Below are 12502 nucleotides of genomic sequence, written 5' to 3' on the forward strand. Positions count from 1 at the left end.
AAATAAGGTTAAATCATTAAGTTTTCCTCTATGATGCAATATTCAAAATCCATCAGCACAAGTCAAAGGGACAAAGTATAATAAAAATATAAGCGTTAAGTCAGATTGTCTTGAACTTAAACCTCAGCTCTGTTTATCCCTTGATTATTGAGACCTAAATATTGCATCTATCTGAACCTCAGTTTGCATGTTTACAAAATGGGCATTTTTGGAAACTAGGTGAGCTAATTTAATAATATAACAATTATAATATATATTATCCTAGCTACACTGGGCACTTTCATACGTATTCTTTTATTTAATGTATTCGATAATTTCATGAAGAGGATACTACTCCTTCCATTCTACAAATAACACAACAGAGTGGACGAAGTGTCTTGTTGGAGGTCACACTGCTTGCTGAGCAGTTGGGTTGCAATTTAAACACAGTCTGATTTCAGGGCCTTCAGCCTTAACGTTATGTTCTCAGATAGCAAAGAAGAGTGTTGATGTAATTCCTTTCAATGTTCTGGAGGGCACAGTTATTTCAACTACTGTGCTAACTAGTACTCCACAGGAGTAACCCCTAGTAACCCACAACTTATCTCCTTGGTGCAGGACGAAGTGGGGGTTCGCAAATACCACAATATAAAGCAGACTCTGCCAGTCTCCTGCACTTTTGAAATCTAACTCATTTTTTCCAGATGAGACTGGTTAAAAACAGTTCCTGTTTCTTTAGAATAGATAGAATTTTCTTTAAATAATTTCATTTAAAATTCCCCACCTCTCCCTAAAATTTAAGCCTAAAATATTCAAAGAAATTAAAGAAAAAATAATAAAACATTAAATCATAAGAAAACTTTTTAACAATTTGCCAGAGCACACACGTGGATGTCATATTTTAGGGAGTGGAGCTTAGTTTTCAATAGACCTCATTTAATGAAATTGAAAGCTTCTCAAGAGATCACCCAAACCCAGCAGCACCAGAAGCCATGAAGGTGTTGACTCAGAGATGACCCTAACTCAACATATTGGAAGAGGTGATATTTAAATGTATATTCACAGTTCACAAGGCATACCCTTTAAGTCATGATTTAAACATCAGTTAAGATTTTAAGTAGAACGTCTATATCACAATTTTCACAAATTCAAATCCAATTAAAATAGATACTTAAATCACCTTAGAGAGAGTTGCCTAAAGCCAACAGGAAAATAATCTAATTTATCATACTAGTACTTTATAAAATTTACCTTCAAAGTTGACTTTAATTGTTCTAACTACTAATTATTGGATAACAAAAGTAGGGTCTCTTCCACTAGACAATTAATTACTACATAAATATGGGAGGTAATTTGCCAATAAACTTATGAGACAAAGTATCATCTCTTTCAATATGTTTTCATTAACTCTGTGACCTGAAGGGAAAACAGTTTACCTTTAAAGCTCTCTGAACTGCAGTCTTCTTCAAGACATCGGGGTTAAATTCTAATGGGTTACTCTTTCAAGTCAGAAGAAAACGAATATGCCAAGGGTTAATAAAACATGCAATGAAGTTTATGTAAGGTTAAAGACATGAAAATTTATGGGAATAAACAAACAAAAATCTTTAAACAAAACCACCAGAATTACACAAACAACCAAAATGCCACGTATAAAATTCTTTATGCCCAAGACTTCATCTTAGAATGAACCTTTAATCTATGCATATCAAAAGACAGCTCCTTATCCCCTATGATTAATATTCTTTTACTACCCCCACCCTCTTGATCCCTTGTGATTTCACAAATACAAGAGTGGGGCTTTAGGAAAGGGTTCTATTTACTATTCTATGCTGAATAAACCCCTAAAATACCAATCATAATTAAAGGTTTTATTTGAAGCACAATGAATGGGCCACAGCCGCCCAAGTCCCTCTCAGGCCAGGTCAGGTCCTGGAACCGCCGCTGAGACGCACCTTCCCACCCAGCACCCAGCAGAGGAGCTGCTCCTCTCTGCTCCTCGTCCTTTTCCGGGGTAGGAGTCAGGCTGGCTGGATCCCCACAGAAGCTTCTTGGGCTCTAAATATAGTCCTATGATTATGGGTTTTATGTTTACTTTTATTGATTTTTTTCCAATTCATTAGTTTCTTGCCCTCAAAAAGGCAAGACTGAGTTGTTTTGCAAGCTCCTTCTAGGACTAGTATTCAAGATTAAAGAATTTATCATTTTAGTTGTAATTAACTTCAAACTTGTGACAAGCTGAACTAAATGTTTAATTTTTTTTTTTTTTTTTTTTGCTAAGCAAAAGATTTTATAATGAAGAAAGATGAGTAACTAGCCTCTCAATCTTCCATGACTGGCAGGCTGGGCCAGGAGAGAAGATGGAACATGCGGCCAGGCAGGAATTCACATGACCCTAAAGCTGCCGGTGGAGCTCTCAAAAGTCCCTAGATCCACTGCGTCCGTCTCTAGGTGGAGCCTGGACAAGGGCATCCTTCACACACTTCCCAGGGGCTCATATACAATGAGGATGAGAACTCTGCTGCCCGGAAGGACTGACATTCTTCGGATATCCTACAAACCCTTCCTGAAGCTCACTTTTGGATAGATATGGGCTGTACCAAAGACACTTATTATTCTAACATGCATCAAGTAAAGTAAAACAAGGAGAGAGGCTGCGGTGTGTGGGTAGGGGATGCAGGAGAAGCTGTGTAAGGTAGTGGACAGCTGTGTGGCTCTGGGGATGAGACAGACTAGACCAGGCAAGTGCTTCAGGCAGGTGCCCCGTCGGGAGGCCTCTGGAGTTACTCATCTTGCAGCCTCGGGCTACTCACCATCAGGAAGCAGTGGGAGCCACCTGTGTTTTTTGTTTTGTTTTTATTTATTTATTATTTATATTTTTGAGACGGAGTCTTGCTCTGTCACCAGGCTGCAGTGCAGTGGCACCATCTTGGCTCACTGCAACCTCCACCTCCTGGGTTCAAGCGATTCTCCTCCCTCAGCTTCCCAAAAAGCTGGGACTACAGGCATGCACCACCACACCCGGCTAATTTTTTGTATTTTTTTTTTACTAGAGATGGCGTTTCACCATGTTGGCCAGGATGGTCTTGATCTCTTGACCTTGTGATCCACCCACCTCAGCCTCCCAAAGTGCTGGGATTACAGGCATGAGCCACTGTGCCCGGCCTTTTTTTTTTAAATGACAGCCAAAATAACTTGCACAAAGCTCCTAGCATCATTAGGCCTAAGGGCCTCCACAGTGGTGGCTATTATCCAGCTAGTACTGTTATGTTTAAGGCATTAGTGCAAATACCACTCATCTCAGATGAATTCCACATACAGACTGATGAATCTATAAACTTAATAAAGTGACAATAAATTCACTTTGCACTAGGGTCGAGGGGACAAGAGGCGCCAAGCACCCCGACTCTGGGCCCACGCTGAGTTCCAATTCCAGCTCTCCCACGCACTGAAGCCGTGCCTGGGAATCTCTAGTCTGTGTCATCTGGGTTCTTGGTGTTGTCTTAATTTCCTTATCTGTAAAGTGATAATGAGGGTCTGGAGATTAAACAAGTAGCAACCTGAGACCCCTGCCTGGCTCCTGGAAAGTGCTCAGTAAGTATGCTGTCATATCAGGCTTAAGATGTCAAAGCTGGCCACCATGAGTCAGAGGAAGTCCTTCTTGTTCAAGCCTGAAATTAAAGCCCAGAATTTCATCAAAAGAAGGAGGGCAAAGTTCTAAGAATCCACATTATGAAGAGGTCGTTTCCAGCCTACGAAAAATTCCTATTGTCCTAAGTTTGCAGATGGGGATCGCTGGTGGCAATGCACTCCTGGAGCTGGAATTCAAGGTGCTTTTGAGTGGGTAGGAAGTAAGAGAGCACTGGGTTGGCAGCCGTCAAAGCCTTCACCAGTGACAGCAAGGCTCTCAGCCCTCTGGGGAAAACTGAGAAGCACTGATCTGGCTTCACGTTGAAAACCAATGGGTGGGGGAAAAGTTCACATTTGTTTTACGGAACATCTTAGGTGATGCATATGTTCTAATAAGGAAGTACAGTGTGCAACTTGGATAATGCTGCAGGAAAGCTGATTTTGGTAACGCTCCTGATACAAGGTCAGAGACACTTCCTTTCTGCAAAAGGAAGCAGTTGTAGAATGGGAAAAAGCAACTTGGAAAAGCTATTGGAGATAAACTAACAGTTTACACAGGGGAGCTATCTAGTCAGATTTACACTAGTCTATGATGAAATTTTCTGCAAGCAAAAAATTATTTTCTTAAAAGTAACAGGATATGCTGCTGTTACTTTTAAGCAGTAAAACAGGTACTGCTGACCTCACTTTGACTTTAAAAAGGCCTTAGACATATATGAGTAGACAGCCAGAGAGACTATGGTTACCACTTACTATCGCTGTGACTCTGAACAGCTCACCTAACCCCTCAGGGTCTTGATTTTCCTCATCTGTAAGACAGGGCAAAATGCCTGTTCTTCCAATGAGATCACTTGGACACAGGGCGGGGAACATCACATACTAGGGGCCGTCAGGGGGTAGGGGGAGAGGGGAGCGATAGCATTAGGAGAAACACCTAAGGTAAATGACGAGTTGGTGTGTGCAGCAAACAACATGGCACATGTATACCTATGTAACAAACCTGCACGTTGTGCACATGTACCCTATAACTTAAAAATATAATTTAAAATAATTAAGTAAATAAATAAACAAAATACCTGCTCTTCAAGTTTTGCCCCCTACGCTCCCCCTACTTTAAAAAATAAGAATAAACTGAGAATGCATAGGGAAATCCTTTGGAAATAGAAATGAAAACTCTACAAAAATGCAAAGCGCTATCACTGCTCTACTAAGGGACAACTGGGCCGTAAGAATCTCACTGTCAGTTGGATGAAGTCTGACTTTCTGGGCTAATGACTAAGACGCTGTGGCCCCCTGTGGCCCTGAAGCAGGTGAAAACGGCTCTCTACTGCAAGCACAGAGAACAGCACAGGTATCCAGTGCCAGACGGGCAACATATGATGAGATGGGAACAAAGACACGCTCAATTATCCACTCCAGGAAGGTCTTTAAGTGTCTTAAAAGAAAGTGAATCACAAACTTAATATACTTTTCTTCTCCCTTAGGAGCTCTGGGTAAATCATGTAAGTGAAGGCAAATTTTTATTTAAAAAATGGGTGAATTTCTATCTTCACGTGACCATCCCCCAAATGACTGAGAGTTGATTACACAGCAGGGTTTTCAAAGAAGGCCCTAGTTCTGACTCTTGCGTGTTTGATCAGGAAGGGATAATAGGCCGGGCATGGTGGCTCACACCTGTAATCCCAGCACTTTGGGAGGCCGAGGGGGGTGGACTGCCTGAGATCAGGAGTTGGAGACCAGCCTGGTCAGCATGGTGAAACCCTGTCTCTACTAAAAATACAAAAATTAGCCAGGCGTCGTGGTGGGTGCCTGTAATCCCAGCTACTCGGGAGGCTGAGGCAGGAGAATCACTTGAACATGGGAGGTGGAGGTTGCAGTGAGCCGAGACCATGCCATTGCACTCCAGCCTGGGCAAGAAGAGCAAAACTCCATCTCAAATTAAAAAAAAAAAAAAAAAAAAAAAAAGGAGGGGATAGATTTTAAAACAGTTTTGTGAAACTTTACAAAAAAATTTACATCTCACATTGAGATGAACCACAAGAAAATGAATTTTAATCATTATGGCTTCATTTCTCCTCAGGAGAGGTTTTTTTCAACGAGCCAGTAGCAGTTGAGGAATGGAGGACCACTTCTCTACTAGCCAGGGTTGTTCATCTCATGGTCAGATGCTCTCCAATGTTACAACAGTGTTACATTTCACAAAACAAGCACAAAATAAATACACAATAGTTAAAATCATGCAAGAAAATAAAAGCATGCAACATCAGTCCACCGCCAGCCAACTGCATTAGAAGTTCCAGTCCACATTCTGGCAGTTTCCAAACAGACAAAGAAAGAAAGAACCCCGGAGGACTCACAAATAGTGCTCTATAGACTGAGGCGGTATTTTCACAAAACACTAGTCCCGACGCTCGCCTCTCTTTTAAGTAGCCACACCCAAAGTTTCCCTCGTAGATGCCCTTAGGGCAGTGGAGCCAGGGGAGAAAGCAGAGAACGGTGGATTGTGGTCAATGAGAGCACCAGGAGCACCACAGACAGTGAGAGGCAGAGCCAAAGGATCCCAGAGCTCGCGGGACGCCCCTTAATCCAGCGCCAAAGGATCCCAGAGCTCGCGGGACGCCCCTTAATCCAGAGCCAAAGGATCCTAGAGCCCGCGGGACGCCCCTTAATCCCGCGCCAGGCACCCCGCGGCTCTGCAAAGATCCTTTGCTTCTGATGGCCACAGCACATTCCATGCACAAAGTGCCCTTTTAACAGAAGATCAATACAGTCTCTCTGGGTTTTTTTTTTTTTGTTTTTTGTTTTTTTTGCTTATGTGACATTATTCAAATTTCAATTTAATGTGACAACACACACAGTTCTAAAGAGGCCTAACCTTTTGTAGTCAATTCACTGATACTATTCTCTCTACCCTAAAATAGAAAACAAATTCACTTCCATCAGGCATTATGGAAGCCTTTACAACAAACATTACCATGGCTAAAAGCAAACAATTCTACTGTATAGAAATTCTGTGGAAAGATTAAATACTTAATGAAATAACTTTTTCCAAATTGAAATTGTAACAGGTAAAGTCACAGACTTTAGACTGGAAGACTGATCAAAGGCTAAGGTAAATAAGAGAAATGTAAGAATTCTTCTAAGAAGTTAAAATCGGTCAAGAAAGCTTCATTGAAATAAACAGTGCAATTATATACAATTACATACAACAAAGAGTACAATCACATCCTCCCAGTATGAAATATAAGTGATCAATCATATCTTAATTGTAGGTAACTTTAAATAAAATGCACGGGTGCACAAGTATTTACTTCATTTCTGTGCAAAGCTCAAGGAAATGCACAGTTCTCAGAACGTGGAAGGTGCTGGAGGAAGCCAAGGGCGTGCATATCGTGAACTATGAAGCGTAGTCTGACCACGGCAAGGCAAGACTACAGGGGATCGAGAGGCCGATAACTGAGGTCCAGGATGTGTGTCAAGAAGTGAGTTAAACGCTTCTTTGCCTTCTTGTCTATCTCCCTGGTAAACACTGACAAAGGGAGAAAAGACACAGGAAGACGATTTATGTACAAATGCACTTGGGTGGATGAGTATTTACTGTGGAGGAGGAATTATGCAATGAACAACTTGGGGAGGAAAGAAACTTCTGCACCGCGTGGCAGCAGTCTTTCTTCCAACAAAAGCGGCTGTGGACACGATGAAATAAACACTGAGTGCCTAGTCAGCAAGTGTATGGGCACTCTAAAATCATCAAACAAGATGACATGACTAAGGACCACACCACTATCCTCACTAGCAGGGTTTAAGGTAGGATGACGGGAGAGCACACTATGCCTCACAAGATGGAATTAGTAAGATCTTCCTTTTCTGTGGTTACGGTTATTACCTATAAAACAACATTTTACATTTTTTCTCTACGAATGAACAATTCTGATACAAACAAAAATATATGCTTCTAGGCACAGAGTGTCTTGTATCTGGCAGTAGGTCATTCCGAGACATGGCTTCCTTTTGTTCTGCGAGAAACATCCCAGGCACCCGGAGGCCAGCTCGCTTGTGCAGCAGCACCATTCTGCCATCTGATGCCCCACGGATCGCCAAGGCCCAGCAGCTCACGCACGGCCCTGCGACAGCCATGAGGAATCTGCATTTTGTAATCAGAGCTGCTTCATTTTATTCCCATTCCAAAGAGAGACAATTTCCATCCTAAGGCAACTAAGTTTTAATGCTTAGTGATTTTCTAGAGAGTTAACCTCTTCTCCTAACCACTATTCATCTTCTTTTCCTATGTACTGCACAAATCCAGCTAAATGTGTAAACAGAAATGTATGCACTCCCAGAGCAAACACTAACTTCTCCCTCTCCACTGCCACTCTCCTGCACTTGGACGTGAAGTGAAAACACAACAAGAAGAGAACAGGTGATGCAGAGTGCTGCACAAAGCAGTGGTTATAAGCAAGAGCAGCTGCTAGGAAATACGCACCCACAGGTGTTACCACTGTGTTACCTACCGGAAGGTTCCTTGCTGAATCCAAGTACAAGATCAGCAATGCAGAGGAAAGACCATCGTTGGCTTGGTCTTTGTCAGCTTTGATGTCTGTTAGCACCTAAAAGGAAAGGAAAAAGCCCTTAGCAGCCATGTTTCCACAGGATTAGATACTATTTCTATCTGATTGTATCATGTTGATTACGCTAAAAATAAGAAAGGTGAGAAACCATCCAATCCATGCAACAGAGACAGAACTAAAACAATAAATGCCTTTTAAATAACAAGACTACTATTCCATATATAAGTCAATTAAATGAAGCACTCAGGTGATTTCTGGCTCTACAAATCCCTGCACTTTAACAAGCTCAAAACTGAAGATCTGATAAAACAGGTATGAAGGACCTATAAATTTCATTTTAAAAACTCCATTATCTTTAATTTATCCCTGATGCTACTGTAGTGACTTATTACACAATAATGAAAATTACTGCTATAATTGTTAAAAAATCAAGTAGCAACACAACTGAGAGACCAAGCTCAGTTATGAGGAGTAGTTGGTTAGGTAGTTTTCAAGAGCACATGCTTCAACAGCACCTTGTCGAGGTTTGACGCATTTGGCATTAACGTGAGCCACTCCAGTCTCAAGTGTAGCTTCCCCTTGGGAACCTCGTCCAGAGTGAACCACTGAAGAGAAAAAATGTTTACGTTCAGCAAAAGTTCTTCTGAATCAAAAATCCAAATTAAACCCAGTCTCTACAAATGTTCCATGCTGCTCACTAACCACGAGGCATCAACAGTTCTCAGTAACGCGAAGGCTGAGCCTCACCATATCCAGCTCTACGCTATGTGGATGCCAGTGACCTCACGTTTGGAGGCGATGGCAGCAACAGGTGTGAGCGACCATTCTAAGTGCTTTACACACACCAACCCCGTGACCCCGACAGAAACCCTAAGCAAGTACTAGTATCATTCCCACTTTACACATAAGAATTCAAATGTTTTCTAGCACTACCTAGAGACAGTAAAGTCTTCTATGAATAGACTTCTTTTTTTTGAGATAGGGGTCTTGCTGTGTTGCCCAGGCTGGGCTCAAGCGATCCTCCTGCCTCAGCCTCCCCAGCAGCTGGGACCACAGGTGTAGGCAAGCATGCTCCACCAAATGGCCTTTAACGGAATGTACAGGGTAAGAGGTAATACAACATTGATTCCAAATACTGAATTTCAGTATCAAACGATTTAATCTGTTTGTTCTAATTCATCACTCTATACTAATAAAATAGTATACAGTTGTATCAGCTTAAAAGTCACAAAATAATTAATCAAAGATGCTCCTCAAATGCTAAATGATAGAAGCCATGGGCAGGACTGTCCATCCAGTGCCTGGCACACCCAGGAAAACGAGATGTCACAGCCAATGAATGCTGAACACTCAAGGGAAGGAAACGTGTGATTACGAAAGCAGCAGAATTCAACACTTTTGTTTAATTTTGCTTCATTTATCTAAATCTTACCCTTCTTTTAGAAGCCACCACAAATGTTTCCTTTTTGATACTTTTTATTCTGATAGCAATAAAATGGTGGAAGTCGAGTCTCCTTGCCATGAGTTCCCACTGTCTCTACAGGCATCTCTCACGTGAGATGCCTCACTGGCCGCACTGTGCCTTCTCCACCATTCCCTCCAAACACCTGAAAATCTCCATCACTAGGGGGCATCTCGCACAGCCCTGCCCTTACTCCTGCAGGGGATCGCATATTTGTCTGCAATAACGTCAGTTTATGCTTCATATCCGTAAGGATTCCCAGCATATGGTAGGGACTCAACACGCACCTGAATGGACTCTTAAATTTATTTTTCATTTGCTATTTCTAAAAGGCCTAAATTCTTAGTATATGTTAAGTAAATGTTGTTCATGCCATACTAATTAGGATTCCGGCACTGTGTGATGGTGAAGGGGTGGTTCGTGGCTCCTCTGGCACAGGGCAGGGACTCAGTCAACAATTGTAAACAGACCCACACTCCAGGGAAACTTACTTCATCTAAAAGGCGCTCCTTTTCAACTTCAATGAGGTCAATCATAAGACTATAAAAATAACAATACGACAACTTTAGAACATAGAAACACATTTCTTACTGAAACAACTTTAAAACATAGAAAACACATTTCTTCCTGAAACAACCTTAAGCATTTGTCTATGAACAAGCACTCCAGAAATGCAACAAAACGCTAATAATTTATCAAGGAACAGACTATTTTTCCACAAGCTTCCTCCAGCTCACCCCCAGTGTCAGGAGAGTAAGGAAGAGTGAGGTGGAGTTTCTGTGAGCTCAGAATACTGAGTTTGGCCCAGCTGAGGTTAGAGCTGTAAAACAAAAACAAAAACAACTCATCTTCCCTACAATGTTACATGCATCAAAAAATGTTTGAAAGCATCTCAACCCTCTTATTTTACACGTCCTCTTGGAACGTCTTATTTTATACGTTCACTCACAACTCCAGTAGGGTTGTGCGTTACTGTGGATTCCTCACTCGCACAGTGAACGCTAACCTCACGTTCCCCCACCCTTGCTCCCAGGCTCTAGACCCATGCTGCATTGAGCCCGATGGACGCCCTCACTCGGTGCATCTGAGAGGAGGCCCATTCCCGTTCCCCTAAACCTCCCGTACTTCCAAGATTGGCACCACCCCCAGACGCCAGATACAACTAGATGGGATGATTATACTCCCACTTCTTCTTGTAGCCTCTTCTGCCCCCCACAATCTATGTCTACACCGCCTTCTCTCTGTCCTGGTCTATGACACACTCTCCTATTTGGTCTGCCAGTCTCTAAGCTCAGCCCCCGACAATCCAATCCACACAGTGATTTTCCTAGAATGAGCACCTGATCTATCCTGTCTGGCTTAAAATCTCTCAATTGTTCCTAGTTGTCCTGGGAAGTCTCATGAACTCTCAAGTCAGGCCACAACGTGCAAGGGCCATTCTTGATGAGGTATGAACCTCTCCAATGTATTCTATCCCTACATCTTTTTTGCCACAATTTAATTCAGTCAAATAACTTAATTAGGTTAAATTAATCAGAAATAATTGATATTAACAAATGGTGGTCAAACAATAACCATTTTAAAAGTTTATTTTTAAAGCTATACTAGTTGTTCAATTGAAGTGAACAAACCAGTATTTATTTTCCCAATGTGAATTACTATATCCTGACAAAAATTAATCCAGCAACTCAAAAAACTTAAAAAACCCATTTTTGCAATCTGGAATAGAACTGTCCACTAGAACTCAATACGGCGGCAGGTTCTGCATGTAGCTTTAAGCCTTGTAAACAAAGAGAGTGCCACTCAGATAGTTTTTAATTTATTTAACTTTAATTAACTTAAGGCTAGTGCCTGCTGTAATAGACAGCACAGATCTAGAAGACTCACTTCTCTTAAATGTGAAACTTTTAGGAATAAAAATGTTTTAAGAAATCCAAGGTGAAACAATTGTTATATCTAAGAACCATTTAATGAATAGACAACAAGTATACAAATGTATTTTAAAACATACTTTTGATTATTAAACAAAAAGACTGACCCCATGCCCTCCTCCAATAACCACAATGGGCTTTATTTACCTTCCTAAAAAGTCATCCTTGTCTGGGTCTTCATCAAAGAGCTCAATCTCTAATTCTTGTCCAGGATGTTCATACACTAAAGCCTAAAACATCAATGGTTAGTAGTTAAGTGCATTTTTACTAATATAGTCATACACTGAGTATGATATGATGATTGTAGTAAATATGACCAGGTACTTTTCTCTGGTGGTAAATCCTTATTTATTTATTTATTTATTTATTTATTTCTGGAGATGGAGTCTCGCTCTATCTCCCAGGTTGGAGTGCAGTGGCACAATCTTGGCTCACTGCAACCTCCGCCTCCTGGGTTCAAGCGATTCTCCTGCCTCAGCCTCCCAAGTAGCTGGGATTACAGGCATGTGCCACCATGCCCGGCTAATTTCTGTATTTTTAGTAGAGATGGGGTTTCACCATGTTGGCCAGGCTGGTCTCAAACTCCTGACCTTAAATGATCCACCCACCTCGGCCTCCCAAAGCGTTGGGATTACCAGTGTGAGCCACCGCACCCAGCCAGTAAATTCTTTTAGGACACTTATTTTTTTATTGTCAAGTCACACACACCTCTTGAGGACGGGAGGTCACTGAAACACCTGCCACACAGTAACAGTCTACCGTGCTTGTTTCTAGGGATCCTGGATTGCGTCTCAATAGATCAAGTTCAATCACTCCAACAAGGTCATGATACGTCACCCACAAGCTTGGTGCAAGGCATGAGACAGACCAAAGATCCAGGACACATCCCTCTAGTCCTGAAGTGGCTCCACTCAGATGCTATCTTGGAATAA

The 12502-nt window shown here is 41.7% G+C and overlaps 1 protein-coding gene across 9 annotated transcripts in view; it reads right to left on the minus strand.

The window, feature by feature from the left end:
* The window catches only part of ESYT2 (extended synaptotagmin 2), a 98513-nt gene that overhangs the window by 20369 nt on the left and 65642 nt on the right, over window positions 1–12502 (minus strand). For 5 of the 9 annotated variants that reach the window (NM_001367773.1, XM_047420659.1, XM_024446847.2 and 2 more), the window contains 5 exons: window positions 11718–11800; window positions 10131–10179; window positions 8693–8782; window positions 8121–8216; window positions 1416–1478 (listed from right to left, as the gene is read on the minus strand). In NM_001367773.1, coding sequence (NP_001354702.1) covers window positions 1416–1478; window positions 8121–8216; window positions 8693–8782; window positions 10131–10179; window positions 11718–11800 — 381 coding nt within the window. Of the gene's footprint in view, window positions 1–1415; window positions 1479–5639; window positions 6069–8120; window positions 8217–8692; window positions 8783–10130; window positions 10180–11717; window positions 11801–12502 lie in introns of those variants that run through there. The other 4 variants (XM_024446846.2, NM_020728.3, XM_047420660.1 and 1 more) reach the window with 2 other exon arrangements.

This window comes from Homo sapiens, chromosome 7, assembly GCF_000001405.40.
Source record: "Homo sapiens chromosome 7, GRCh38.p14 Primary Assembly".
NCBI classification, from domain to species: domain Eukaryota; kingdom Metazoa; phylum Chordata; class Mammalia; order Primates; family Hominidae; genus Homo; species Homo sapiens.